The sequence below is a fragment of the Homo sapiens genome, chromosome 11, assembly GCF_000001405.40.
Source record: "Homo sapiens chromosome 11, GRCh38.p14 Primary Assembly".
NCBI lineage: Eukaryota > Metazoa > Chordata > Mammalia > Primates > Hominidae > Homo > Homo sapiens.
The window spans coordinates 69,848,576-69,864,098 of NC_000011.10; the positions used below are offsets into that span (position 1 = coordinate 69,848,576).

General features: G+C 44.3%; 1 annotated feature.

Moving 5' to 3' along the window:
- Positions 3,628 to 3,797: an enhancer, noted in NCBI's record as "experimental_21658 CRE fragment used in MPRA reporter constructs". NCBI's record gives its function as "activates a minimal promoter by MPRAs in K562 erythroleukemia cells, with activity observed for both the introgressed and non-introgressed 11:69667056 variant alleles {active_cell/tissue: K562}" and the evidence as "EXISTENCE:reporter gene assay evidence [ECO:0000049][PMID:34662402]".

Here is a 15,523-nt window from a genome sequence, read left to right on the forward strand (position 1 = left end):
CCTTCCTTCCTTCCTTCCTTCCTTCCTTCCTTTCTTTCTTTCTTTCTTTCTTTCTTTCTTTCTTTCTTTCTTTCTTTTTCTTTCTTCCTTTCTTTCAGATGGGCTCTCTCTAAGTTGCTCAGGCTGGCCTCGAACTCCTGAGCTCAAGTGATTCTCCTGCCTCAGCCTCCTGAGTAGCTGAGACCACAGGCATGCACCACCATGCCCAACCTAACATCCTGATTCTTCAGCACAAGTGTGTTCAGTTTGAAAATCATCAAACTGCACCCTCATGATCTGTGTATTTATTGTATATATGTTGTACTTAAAAATTTTTTTAAATCCCTGCCTTCATGGAGGTTATGTTTGGTGGAAGAATTGGGGGGTTTGGGAGAACAATAACCAGTATGTGGTAAACTGAATCATGACCCTCAAAGATACCCAGGTCCTCTTCTATAGAGCCTGTGAAAGTGATCTTATATGGCAAAGGAAACTTTGCAGATGTGGTGAAATCAAACGTATGGAGATGGGGGAGATTATCCTGGATTAGTCAGTGGGCCCTAAATGGGACCACACATTTCCTTATAAGAGGGAGGCAGAGAGAAATTTGACTACACAACAGGAAGTAGAAGGTGGGATGATGGAAGCAAGAGATTGGAGTGATGTGGGGAAGAGGCCACAAGCCAAGGAACTGGGGTGGCCTCCAAAAGCTGGAGGAGGCAGAGAAACAGGTTTTCACCTGGAACCTGCAGAAGAAACCAGTCCTGTGCACACCTTGGCTTTAGCCCAGGGAGACCAACTTCAGACTTCTGGCCTCCAGAACTTGAAGACAATGAATCTGTACTGTTTTAAGCCAACAACCAAATTTGTGGTAATTTGGTACAGCAGCAACAAGAAGCTAATACACAAGTTAATTAAATACATTACACAGCATTACATATTATCTTGGTCACATTCGTTTCTCATGGTTCTGTTCTGTCAATTTATTTTTATTTATTTTTTTATTTTTTTTGACAGAGTCTTATTCTGTCGCCAGGCTGGAATACAGTGGCATGATCTCGGCTCACTGCAATCTCTGCCTCCTGGGTTTAAGCAATTCTCCTGCTTCAACCTCTCATGTAGCTGGGACTACAGGGGCACACCACCATGCCCAGCTAATTTTTGTATTTTTAGTAGAGATGGGGTTTCATCATGTTGGCCAGGATGGTCTCAATCTCTTGACCTCGTGATCCACCCGCCTCGGTCTCCCAAAGTGCTGGGATTACAGGTGTGAGCCACCACACCCAGCCAACTTTTTTACTGCATAAAAATTTTCATGGGCCAGGCTTGGTGGCTCATGCCTGTAATCCCAGCTCTTTGAGAGGTCAAGGCGGGCAAATCACTTGAGGTCAGGAATTCAAGACCAGCCTGGCTAACATGGTGAAACCCCGCCTCTATTAAAAATACAAAAGTTAGCTGGGCATGGTGGTGAGCACCCGTAATCCTAGCTACTCAGGAGGCTGAGGCATGAGAATCATTTGAACCCAGGAGGTGGAGGCTGCAGTGAGCAAAGATTGCACCACTGCACTCCAGCCTGGGCCAGTGAGACTCTGTCTCAAAAAAAAAAAATTCAAAATAGAAAGTTAGAGATTAAAAAAAAGAAAGATTGGGAGGCAGGTCGAGTGTGAGTTTAGGTCACCCTTTCAAAGGAAGGAGCTGAACAAGATAGAGGGGAACCACAGCTCGAGTGAAGAGAAAAATTCTGACAGTTTTTTAATTGTGGTAAAATACTCATAGCTTAAAATTTACCATCCTCATCATTTTTAAGTGCACAGTTCAGTGGCATTAAGTACATTCACAATATTGTGCAACCATCACCACCATCCATCTCTAGAACTTTCTCATCTTCCCAAACTGAAAGTCTGTCCCCTTAAACACCAACTCCCCATCCCCTCCCCGAGTCCTGGGCACCCACCATTCAACTTTCTGTCTCTATAAATTTGACTACTCTGGGTACATCATATAAGTGGAATCATACAGTTTTTTTTAACTGACTTTCAGGTTTCTCTCAAATGAGATAAATAATAATGTATATTTTAAAAAGAGGCTGGGGGTACAGTGGCTTATGCTTGTAATCCCAGCACTTTGGGAGGCTGAGGTGGGAAAATCACTTGAGTCCAGGAAGCCGAGGCTGCAGTGAGCCATGATCATGCCACTGCTCTTCAGCCTGGGTGACAGAGCAAGACCCTGTCTCAAAAAAAACAAAACAAAATAAAATAAAATCCAATTAAGATGGACAAATAGAGGATTCTAGAGAGCGGGGAGCACTAGTGGATTTGTGATCCTGGGTAGGAGGCAGGCTAGTATTTGACATCAAGTGCAGAGATGAGAGCCTGACGTCTGTGCAGAGTAACCAAGAAAGGGATGCATGTGGGGACAGGTGTAGGAGCTTGGGGATCAGAGTGGTGGTGGTGGCTTGTGATCGTTCTTTCTGATGGCACCTGCAATTCTCAGTGAAGCAGAGGACAAGGTGATCAGCTGAGGATGAGGACAGCGGAGGAGGCAGCAGAGATTCATGCAGAGGAGAGAACCCAGTTATCCATTAGAAGACTGAGGAAAGAACAGAATCCAAGAATTAGGGTGAACCTGGTAGTGGCTAAGCATAGCCTCTCCTGTTTTCCAAGCATTGTTAATCTTTTGTCTCCTGTTTTCCAAGCTCCCTGGGAGCTGTATCCTCCAAAGTCCTCATAAGAATAGAAATTCAAAGGAGAGCCATCCTCAGGGCATATGGTGGTCTTCAGATCAACTTTTGCTGAATCTTCAGCACAGTTGGGGCACTGTACATTTGTGGCTGAGTGTAAGCAGCACACATCATTTGAGGCTGACTTGCAGCAGGTTCTCCAACTCTTGGCAGGTTCCTCACCAGCCTGCTCTCCCTCCTGAAAGCCTCAGTCTCCAAGGGGGTCTAAGCAGACAACAACCACCTTGGTCAGAAAAGAGACGGTCCTAATGCTAGTGGATGGTTCTAGAAACTAGAAATCCCCTCCTTGGCAGGTCACAGGAGTGCCTGAAGGGAGCCAGAGGGTGGAGAGACTCCAAACTGCTTCCTGCTCTCCACCCTCCATGCCCCATGGAGTCCTCCAGACGTCCAGCCAGGTGGACATCTGGGGTTTGTGGTTCTACAACAGCTCTAATCCTTGCTACTTTGTGCACCTCTAAGAGACACGGCATCAAAGCCTGCACTGGTCATGCTGCCTGTTAAAAGGGGAACCTCCCTTTTGCACACTAACTAAAGTCAAAACTTACCTTTTTGTCTTCTGTTGGAGTCAAAGAGGCAATGAGGCTGAGGCTGTATTCCATTTCCTGCCTCCAGGCTTTTGGGCACCCGGCCCCTCTACCTGGGAACCCCGCCTTCCTTTCTGCCTGGAGGACTCCTTCTCAACCTTCAGGAGCTGGCTCCCTTGCCTCTGTGAAGGGTCAGGGGGTCCCCAAGATCACCCTCAGTTTCAATAATTCACTAGAAGGGCTCACAGAACTAAAACAAAAGGTGTTACATTTGTGGCTTATTACTGTGAAGGGCTACACACTGAAATCAACAAAAGTAAGAGGGACATGGGGCAGCATCCTGGAAGGAGCAGGCATCAGCTCCTGGTTGGTCTCTTGCTGTGAAGTCGCATGAACAGTATTTAATCCTGCTGGCAACAATGTGTGGCAACACAGATGGAGAACTGCCAACCAGGAAGTTCTCCAGAGCCACGGAGTGCAGGGCTTCATGGGGGTCCATCTCACAGACATGCAGAGTCCACATGACTGATCTTAGCCATTCATCCTCCAGCCTCTCCAGAGCTCAAACAGATCCAAGAGGCTGAAGGTCTCAGGTAAACAAAGACATTGTCACCAGGCAGTATATTTCAAGAACTCAGAGTTCCTTCTAGCCCAGGACCAGCCCTTTCTTTGGAACATGCAGGATTTTGGCAATCCCAAACATTTCCATTTTATGTGCCTTTCCTTGCTTCATTGCAGTGGCTTATATCTTCAGTGTGATTTGAACAGAACCAGTGAGAGCAGGCATCCATGCCTTGTGCCTAATCTTAAAAGAAGTGCTCAGTTTTTCACTATTAAGTATGCTGTTATCTGTGGGGTTTTTGTAGAAGCCCCTTATTATATATGAATACTGAATTTTGTTAAATTTTTCTACTGCATCTAATGAGTTGATCACATGATTTTTCTCATTTATTTTTATTAATATAGTAAGTTACTTTAATTGGTTTTCAAATATTAAGCCAACCTTGCATTCCTAGAATAAATTCCATTAGGTCATGATGTATCATCATTTTGTCTATATTGCTAGGCTTGATGTATTATTATTTTCTTCAGGATTATTGCATTTATGTTCATAAGGGACAGTGTTTTGTACTAACCTTTTCCTGTAATGCATTTCCAGAGTTATGCTTGCCACATAAAATGAATTGAGAATTGTTTCTCCTCCTTTATTTTCTGAGAGTGTTTACATAGGATTAATATTAATTCTTCCTTCAATTTTTGATAGACTGCACCAGTACAAATATATTGTGGAGGAGACTTTAATAACAAATGCATTTCTTTAATAGATACAAGGCTATTTTGTATTTTCTATTTCTCTTCTTGAGTCTATTTTAGTAATTTATGTCCTTCAAAGAATGTGTATGTTTATGTTGTCAAGTTTATTGGCCTAAAGTTGTCTACAATGTGCCCTTATTATTCTTTTAATATTTGTAGGATCTATATGATGCCCCTTCTTTCATTCTTTGTAATCTGTATTATTTCTCTTTCTTGATAAATCTAGATAGGAGATTGTAATTTTAAAAAACTCTTTACAGAACCTATTTTTCTTTTGTCATTATCCTCTATTTTTTAAATTTTATTCCAATCTTCATGATTTCTTTCTTTTTAAACTTATTTTAAGCTTAATTATTCATCTTTTTCTAGTTTCTTATGGTAGAAGTATAAATAATTAAATTTATATATTTGCTTTTTTCTAATGTAAGTATTTAAAACTATAGCTCCTTCCAGAAGTTTTTGTGTTTTCATTATCATTCAACTAAAAATATTTTATAATTTCCTTTGCAATTTCTTCTTTGATCTACATATTAGTTAAAAGTTTTTTGCTTAATTCAGCAATCAAAAAAGCCACCAAACAACCCAATTCAAAAATGGGTGAAAGACTTGAATAGGCATTTTTCCAAAGAAGATACACAAATTGTCAGAAAGTACATGGGAATCTGTTCAACATCTTTCATCAATAGGGAGATGAAAATCAAAGCCACCGTGAGATACTCCTTCATGCCCTCAGGATGGCTGTTATTTTTAGAAAAGAAACAGAAAAGGTGTGTTGACAAGGATGTGGAGAAGTTGGAACCCTGGTACATTCCTGGTAGAAACTGGAACCCTTGTATGTTGCTGGTAGAAATGTAAAATGATGCAGCCACTGAAGAAAACAATTTGATGGTTCCTTAGAAAGTTAAACACAGAATAGCCATATGATCCAGAAATTTTATTCCTAGGTATATGCCCAAAAGAATTGAGGCCAGGTGTGGTGGCTCACCCCTGTAATCCCAGCACTCTCCCAGCACTCTGGGAGGCTGAAGGGGGAGGATCACTTGAGCCCAGGAGTTTGAGACCAGCCTGGCAACATAGTGAGACCCCATCTCTTTAAAAAGTAAAAAAAAAAAATAGCCACAGCTCACTGCAGCCTTAACCTTCTGGGCTCTGGTGATCCTCCCACCTCAGCCTCCCAGGTAGCCGGGACTACAAGCATGCACCATCATGCCTGGCTAATTTTTGTATTTTTTGTAGAGATGAGTTTTCACCATGTTGCCTAGGCTGGTCTTGAGCTCCTGGGCTCATGAAATCTGCCTGCCTCAGCCTCTCAAAGTGTTGGGATTACAGCACTCAGGTGGCTGAGGTGGGAGGATCACTTGAGTCTGGAAGTCAAGTCTACAGTGAGCTATGGCTGTGCCACTGCACTCCAAGCTGGGCAACAGAGCAAGACCCTGTCTCAAAAAAAAAAAATTAGAAGCAGGGACTCAAACAGATATTTGCATGCCAGTGTTCATAACAAAATTATTCACAGTAGCCAAAAGGTGGAAACAACTCAAGTATCCATCAGCAGCTGAACAGATAAACAAAATGTACTACAGTAGTCCTCCCTTATCCATGGTTTTGCTTTCCATGGTTTCAGCTCCCTGTGTTCAACTCAGGTACAAAAATATTAAATGGAGAACTCCAGAAACAAACCTTTCATAAGTTTTAAATTGCACGCCATTCTGAGTAGTCTGATAAAATCTCACACCATTCTGCCCCATCCCACCCGGGACATGAGTCATCTCTTTGTCCATCATATCCTCATTGCCTGCCCCTTAGTCACTTAGTATCTGACTCTGTTATGAGATGGAAAAATGTAATATATATAGGGTATGATAGTATCTGTGGTTTCAGGCATCCCACTGGGGATCTTGAAATGTATCCCCCATAGGTAAAATGGGACTACTGTATCTACCTACAATGGAATATTATTCAGCCTTAAAAAGGAATGAAACTCTGATACATGCTACCATATGGATGAAACTTAAAAATATGATGCTGGCCGGGTGCAGTGGCTCACACCTGTAATCCCAGCACTTTGGGACGCCGAGGTGGGCGGATCATGAGGTCAAGAGATCGAGACCATCCTGCCCAACATGGTGAAACTCCGTCTCTACTAAAACTATAAAAATTAGCTGGACGTGTTGGCACGTGCCTGTGGTCCCAGCTACTCCGGAGGCTGAGGCAGGAGAATCGCTTGAACCCAGGAGATGGAGGCTGCAGTGAGCCGAGATCGCGCCACTGCACTCCAGCCTGGTGAGAGAGTGAGACTCCGTCTAAAAAAAAATTTTTTTTAAACCCATATATTTGTATATATATATATGATGCTAAGTCCAATACGCCAAACACAAAAGGACAAATTGTATGATTTCATTTATGTGAGGTACCTAGAATATGCAAATTTATTCAGACAGAAAGTGAAATACACACTATTAGGTTACTAAGGGCTTGAGGGAGGAGGAGGGAATGGAAATCATTGACTAGTGGTTTACAGAGTTACTCTTTGGGATGATGAAAAAGTTCTGGAAATGGGCAGTGGTGATGGTTGTACAACACTGCGAATGTACTGAAAGCCACTAAGTTGTACACTTAAAAATAATTAGTTGACTAATAACTAGTTAACTAATATTTAGTTAATTAAAAATAATTAATTAATAAAATAAATAGTTGATAATTTTTTGATATCTTTTTATTACCAATTTTAAATTTCATTCCACTGTGGGGAGAAAACATACTCTATATGATTTCAGTCCTTTGATATACATTAAGACTTGTTTTATTGCCCAGAATATGAGCTATGAGCTATGTTAGTGAATGTTCCCTGTGCCCCTGAAAGAAGTGTGTGTTCTCGTCAATTTCAATAGCATGTCCTATAAATGCCACTTAGGTGAAGTTGGTTGATAGCATTGTTTAAATCTTGTACACTATTTTTTCCTAGTTTTTATTGATTTTTGTTAATGATTTAGTGAAGTTTCAGTTTCTCAACTACAGTGTAAATTTATATGTTTCTCTCTTTGGTTTTCTCAGATCTTGCTTTATGTATTTTGAAGCTGTGTTGTTCGATGTATACAATTTTAGGATTGTTATGGTTTCCTCATGACAATCCTTATAACAATTTCTGAAGAAATAACCCCTTATGCCTCTGATAATACTCCTTGCCTTGATGTCGACTATATCAATATAGTAATACTAGCTTTCCTGTGTTTATCATTTGCTTATGTCTTTTTCCATTATTTCATTTTTGACCTGTCTTTATATTTAAAGTACATCTCTTATAAAGAACACATAATTGATTCTCATTCTTATATCCAGGCTGACAACCTTTCCCCATTAATATGAGTAGTTAGACCAACTGAATTTAATGTAGTTATTAATATGGTTGATTTTAAATCTACCATCTTTCTAGTTGTTTCCATTTACCCTATCTGTTCTTTTTACTTTTTTCTCCTTTCCTTTATTTTAAATTAATTGAATTTTATTAGTATTCTATTTTGTCTTTGTGCATTTTTTTTAGCTATAAAACTTTGTTTTAGTTTCTCTGGTTGCTGTAGGTATTATAGTGTGTATTGTTAACTTTTCACGATACACCTTGAATTAATATTATACCACTTCACATGTATTGTAAGACCTTTACAACAATTATGCTTTTTTTTTTTTTTTGACAGAGTCTCACTCTGTCACCCAGGCTGGAGTGCAGTGGCACGATCTCAGCTCACTTGCAACCTCTGCTTCCCAGGTTCAAGCAATTCTGGTGCCTCAGCCTCCCAAGTGGTTGGGATTACAGGAGTGTGCCACCACGCCTGGCTATTAACAATATACTTCTATTTATTCATTCACCTTGCCCTTTGTGCCATTATATAATACATTTTATTTCTGTGTATGTTATAAACCCATAATATACTGTGATTATTTTTGCTTCATATCAGAGATACCATCAATTATCTTGTTCTTGTTTGGGTAATTTCCGTTGAGCTGATTTCAAGTTCATGACATTTTCTTCTACACTGTTAAATCTGTTTTTAGGACCATCCAGTGAATTTTTGATCTTGTCATTTCAGACATTGTACTTTTCAGATCTGGGAATTTCCATTTACTTCTTTTTTAGTTTTCATATATCTGCTGTGATTCTTCATCTCTGTATTCATTATGTGCATTTTCTTCTTTAAGGCCTGGAGCATATTTATAATACAGTTGACCCTTGAACAACTCAGGTTTTACCTGTGCAGGTCCATTTATAAGTGGATTTTTAAAAATAAAAGTTACAGCAAGTGCACCTGCCTCTCCTGCTCCCCCTTCTACCTCGTCCACTACTTCTACTTCTGTCACCCTTGAGAGAGCAAGACCAACTCTTCCTCTTCCTCTTCCTCCTTCTCCTCAGCTTACTCAACATGAAGACAATGACGATGAAGACCTCTATGATGATCCACTTCCACTTAATGAATAATCAACATATTTTTTCTTCCTCATGCTTGCCTGCCTGCTTACCTCTCTCCCTCCCTCCCTCCTTCTCTCTTTCTCTTTCTCTCTCTTTCTTTCTTTTGAGATGGAGTCTCACTCTGTCCCCCAGGCTGGAGTGCAGTGGCCCTATCATAGTTCACTGCAGCCTCAAACTCCTGCACTCAAGCTATCCTCCCATCTCAGCCTCCTGACTACAGGTGTGTGCCACCACACCCGACTAATTTCTAAATTTTTTATAGAGATAGGGTCTTGTTATGTTGACCAGGCTGCCTTATGGTTTTCTTAATAACATTTTCTTTTCTCTAGCTTACTTTATTGTAAGAATACAGTGTATAACACGTAAAACTTACAAAATATGTGTTAATCAACTATTTGTTATTGGTAAGCTTCTGGTCAACAACAGGCAGTTAAGTTTTGAGGGATTCAAAAGTTAAACATGGATTTTTGACTGTATGGGGTGTTGGCACCTCTAACGCTCACGTTGTTTTAAAGTCTGCTAAATCATCTGTGTCATCTCTGCGTTTGTTTCTATTAATTACTTTTTCTCTTCTGAGTATGGGTCACATTTTTTCTGCCTCTTTGAATGTCTAGTAATTTTTCTACTGTACGTTAGACATTGCAAATGCTATGTTGTTTTAGTCTGGATTTTATTGTCTTCCTTTAAAGAATCTTGAGAATTTTTCTCCCCTTAACAGGCTGTTAATTTATTGGTGAAACAGTTTGATTGAAGATTATTTTCATTCCTTGTTATTGTGGGCCTAGAAGAGCCCTTGTTCTAGAGCTGCAATGGCAAGAATGCTGCTTTAGGTTGGGTTTGGCTGCCTTGTGCCTCAGTTTAGAAATTTCCCTCAAGTATAAAGCCAGAATGAAGGCGGGGCTTATTCCCATATGTCTTTCCCCATGAAGGAAAACAGCCCTGTATTTTCTGTTGTCTGATGCCTTCAAAAGTTATTTTAAATATTGCACCCAGTTGAATAGTTGTTTATGATGAAAGGGTGATCTTAATACTCAGTACAATATGGTTGGAACCAAAATTACTTTGCTTCACATAGTTTTTTTTTTAGCTTTTTATTTTGAAATAATTTTCAACTGAAAGAAAAGTGGCAGTAAATAGTCCCAAGACTTCCTTACCCAGCTTCCTTTAATGTTAGTATCTCAAGCAGCCAAATATAATTGTCGAAACTAAGAAATTAACATGGGTTCAACACTATCAACTAAACTACAGACCTGATTCAGGTTTCATAAATTTCATCGCTATGTCCTTTTCCCGTTCCAGGATCCAGTCCAGGACATCATATTGTATTTACTTGTCATATCCTCCTAGCCTCCTCAGTCTGAGACACTTCCTCAGCCTTGTCTTATCTTTCGTGACTTTGACGCTTTTGAAGAGTGATGGTAAGTTATTTAGCAGAATTTTCCTCAATTTGGGTTTATCTGATGTTATCTCATGATAAGGTGGAGGTTATGCATTTTTGCAAGAATACCCTAGAAGCAATGCCCATGTCACTGTATCTCATTAGTGGCAAAGTTAACCTAGATCACTTGGTTAAGGTGGTGTCTTCCTTACTACTTTTCCTGTTGTAATTAATAACTTTAGGAGCAATACTTTCAGACTATGCAAATATCCTCTTTCTCCTCAAACTTGTACCCACTAATTTTAGCCTCAACCAGCAGATATTACCTGTAACAATTATTGAGAAGTGAGGCCAGCTGGACTTTCTGGGTCGAGTGGGGACTTAGGGAACTTTCCTGTCTTAAAAGAGGATTGTAAAATGCACCAATTAGCCCTCTGTAAAACGCACCAGTCAGCGCTCTGTAAAACTCACCAGTCAGCGCTCTGTAAAACACACCAATCAGTGCTCTGCAAAATGCACCAATCAGCAGGATTCTAAAAGTAGCCAATCACTGGGAGGACTGAAAAAAGGGCATTCTGATAGGACAGAAACAGAACATGGGCGGGGCCAATAGGGAAATAAAAGCTGGCCACCTCAGCCAGCAGGGGCAACTCACTCGGGTCCCCTTGGATGTGGTGGAAGCTTTGTCCTTTTGCTCTTCACAATAAACCTTGCTGCTACTTACTCTTTGGGTCCGGGACATCTTTAAGAGCTGTAGCACCCACCACGAAGGTCTGCTGCTTCATTCTTGAAGTCAGCGAGACCACGAACCCACCAGCGGGAACCAACTCTGGACACATTATGACTGTGATGACTTTGTTGTTCTAATGGTGATTTTCTATTTTCCAAATTCTTTCTACATTTATTAATTGGATTCTTTGGTAAGGAAGAGCTGTCGCTTCTTCTCATTTATCCCTTTACTCCCCAGTTCTAAGGTACCAGATCCATTTCTTCCCATGCAGCAGGGGAGGCTTTTGTATTATACGAACTTGCAGTTCTTGTCTTTTCTACAGACTGGCCCACGGGTCACCCACAGCGACACACCTTCAGGCTTCCTACACAAATCCTCCGATGTTCTCACGGTGTAAAAGCTGAGACTGTGATCACAAGTACAATTTTGTTTAATCTGAGAGAATGTTTTCTTCTTTAAAAAATATACACACAAGGGGATGGGGTAATACCAGGAAGAAAAAATAGCCACGTGTAGTTTTGGAGGAAAATGTGAGCTCTACCTCTGAGCTGGACTCCATGTTGCCCTCTGGAGAGGATCCTGTTTACAGTGCGTCTCTCCTGCTTCTGGCCCCACCCCGCTTCAAGTCTTGTTTGTTGGTCCTCGTGGTTAAATGACTGCAGAAATGCCCCTAATTATTTTCCTCCCCAACTCAACACTCCTGGTTGCAGCAATTCCTAGCAAGAGGCAAAGTCTATTTCCCTGTCCCTTGAATCAGGGTTGGTTTTGTAACTTGCTTTGGCCAAAAAAATGTGACTGCAGTGGCTGGGTGCAGTGGCTCATGCCTGTAATCACAGCACTTTGAGAGGCGGAGGAGGGAAGATTGCTTGAGTCCAAGAGTTCGAGACCAGCCTGGACAACACAGTGAAACCCTGTCTCTACAAAAAAACACAAAAAATTAGTTTGTGTTGCCATGGTAGCATGCACCTGCAGTCCCACCTACTCAGAAGGCTAAGGTGAGAGGATTGCTTGAGCTGGGAAGGCGAAGGTTGCAGTGAGCCATGATTACACCACTGCACTCCAGCCTGAGCAACAGAGAGAGACTCTGTCTCAAAAAAGAAAAAAAAAATAGAATTGTGGCAGCAGAGACCAGCCACCAATTCTGAGCCTAGGCCCTAAGAGGACCCAGGACTCTTACCAGGGGCTGGCCTGCTGGAGGAAGAGAGACAGTGGCCCAGTGGTCCACCGTGACTCCAGCTGAGAGCTGCCCAATCTTCAGGCATGGAAGTGAGGGCATCCTAAACCAGCCAGCCCACCTGCTGTCTGCAGACATACGATGAGTCCAGCCAAGATCCCCCGAGCTTCATCCAGATAAGCAGGACTGCCCGGCTGACCCCTGGGCTTGTGAATAGAAGAAGCACTCCTCATGTGAAGTCACCGAGTTTGGAGTGGTTTGCTGTGCAGTGATAACTACTTGGTACTGTCCTTCCTGAGCCACTCTCACTCTAAACCCAGATCCCGCAACACCTCCAGCAGATCCCCAGGACTCTTGGGATGCAGTGCACGGAGCATTCGCTTGGTCCAGCCCATTATAGGAGGGATGACACCAAGAGGGATCAGGTGACCTGCCCAAAGGGAGGCAGCAAGGTACAGGCATATTGTGGGGCTAGAACCCTGGACTCCAGCTTCCTAGTCGAGTGCTTTTTCCAGGACCCTTTCTGCTTTTACTTTGACAACTTCTTCCCCAGAGCTCAGCTCTCACTCCTCAGACCAAGTAGCTCCAAATCCTTGGGCTCACCTGCACAGACCCAAGGCTGACCTTGGCAATCCAGAACTCCTGCCCATCTGGGACAGGTGTCAAAAACGAGGGCTCCTCTTGCTTCACCTGGATAGTGGCCACCTCTACCTCTCTCTCATCTTTCTCCTGCAGGAAACGGCCGTGGTCCTGCCAGCCCCCGCTTTTGGAGGGGCCTCCGACACTCTGGGCAAACCTAGTTTCTGAGGACTCATTGCCCCAGAAGCATTGGCTAAGTGAAAGATTAATGAACAGAGGTTCATAGGATCTGGAAAGGCTTCTAACTGGAATGATCTGAAACTAAAAATTAATGACAATGGCAGCCGCAATGTAATAGCTGTGTGGTTTATTGAGGTCTTACTGCATCCCCGATGGAGCTGAGTGTGTCTCATGCTGTGTGTCATTTCATGCATGCAACAACTGTATGATACAACTACTATTATCCCTGTTTTACGGGGAAGAAACTCAGAGAAATGCAGAAATTGTCCATCATCACACTGGATCACCCCCTTGGAGAAGCTTCCCTGACCACCCTAGCAAGGACACAAGCCCCACCACTGCCTGCCCCTGAGCACTGGTCACATTGGACATCTCACCCACGCATTGGTTTACTGTCCGGCTTTCCCTTGTGGGACACACAGCCACATGAGCCCAGTCTGTCCCGCTCACAGCTGTATCCAAGGCCTGGAGCATGGCAACAGGCAAACAGAGACCCGTGGAGGGAATGGTCGGGGAATATTGGGGTTGTAAGAATGGCCCTCGTGGAGGGGAGCAAGGTGTCAATCAGCTGATGACATAGTGCATATTTGATGACCCCTTGGTGGGTGCAGGTTGCTGGGGACCTGGTGCTATCGAAGATTACAGATGGGCTGGCAGGGGCCCTTTCTCTCTTATGGAATCAAGCACGGCCCGCAAAGGTTGCTACTGAGCCGGCCTGCAGTGGCCCCGACCAAGCAGTGGCCCCGGCTGCAGCCAGGGCCTTTGGAAACCTCATCAAAATGAAGAGTGGCCTCGTGCGTGCTGACCGGGGGGCTGGTGGCCCACGGAGACGGCATTCCCAGAGACTACAAGGAGCCGGTGGCCCTTTCTTCAACCGCCAAACAACAGCCAATCTCGGCCCCACAAAGACGGGCGCATGAATCACTTCTGCAGAGACTGCATTTCCTTTGAGGGGCTGTCACTGGCACCGGGCGGTAAGAAAACATTTTGTCATGCACATCAGCTGCCTTTCTCTGGGCCTTGGGTGGCCCAGGGCCACTCCCCCACCCAAGGGGACGGCTGTCCCGGTCAGTGCTCATCCATCAAGCTCATAATGAGGTGGCAAATTGCTGTCTTGGAGAGACACTCAAAAGCCAACTACTTCAGCCTGTCCATGGAGGTGTCAACGGCCGGGCCCCAGGAGATAGCTCCCTCCAGGAGGCCTTCTATGGGGGCAGAGGTGGGAGTTTTACTGATCACTAAAGAAGTTGCAGCACCCACCAGCAACTCCCTGGTCCCCTGGGGGTCAGGCTGCCCTGGCCCCACTTACTGCCCATTGCAGCCAGAGGCTGACATCTGTCCCCACCCCTGGGATCCCCATAACCCTGAATCCTTGTTGGCTTCAGAGTCAGCTGAGAAGACCTCCTCTTCCTCCTCCCCCAAGTTCCAGGCCTCAGGGACAGCCAAGGAGAGCAGCAGCAGCGCCTTCCCTGGCCTTTGACCTGAAGACATCTATGATGATGATGATGATGGTGGTGGTGGTGGTGGCTACAGGGTGGGCAGCAGCTTCCTTCACTCATAACTGAGGCTTCCACACTCTATTAGCCCTCATGACCACCCAGGAGGGATGTAGACCTGTGCCCCCATTTCACAGATAAGAAAGGGAGAGGTCATGTGAGCTCCCCACATCACCGCACCAGTGGGAGAGCCAGCCCACTCCAGAGCCCAGGCAGCCGCACACTCGCTCTCAGACAACATCCACCCAGGCCACGAAGAGACCAGTGTCCCGCCAGACCACTCGCTCCCCAGCCCTGACCCTCGGGGACTCACTTCCCTGCTCGTCTGTGTGGTGTGACCGCCCACCTGTGTCCCCCAGCAGGTTCATTTGGGCTCTTTGCAGCTCTCTGTACGTGGGATCCCGCTGGATGTGCTCCTCTGTGGCCGCTCTGTGGCTTCTCTCCATCCAGGCCATTCGGGAAGGTCTATCTGAGCTGCCGCGTGGTTTGACACTTTACTAGGCCCACTGCTGTGTCATATGTCCCAGCATGGATGCTTCCAAGTCCACGGCCCTGTCATTTCTCAAGGCCAGGAAGGGCTCCCAGCTCTGAGGCCCAGGCACTGGTGAGCACCTGCTGCAGTTGGGCCTTCTGAGCCCCCAAGAGCCCCCTGAGGCTTCCTCCTTCCCCAGTGAGGTTTGGTGGGGTGGGGTGGGGCACAGAGAGGTGCAGCCACGGCAGGACAGCCTCTGGGACCCACCCAATGCAGCGCCCTGCCTTTGCACACGCGGAAACCCTTTGGCCCTCAAAGAAGCAGCTTCCATCCTGGCTCCCTCCGGCTTCCAGGCCCTCACTGCGGCTTTGGACCTGGGTTCACAGGGCAGGTGGGTGCAGAGGGCCTCCCGCCACCTGCAGAGCCACAAGTAGCCGC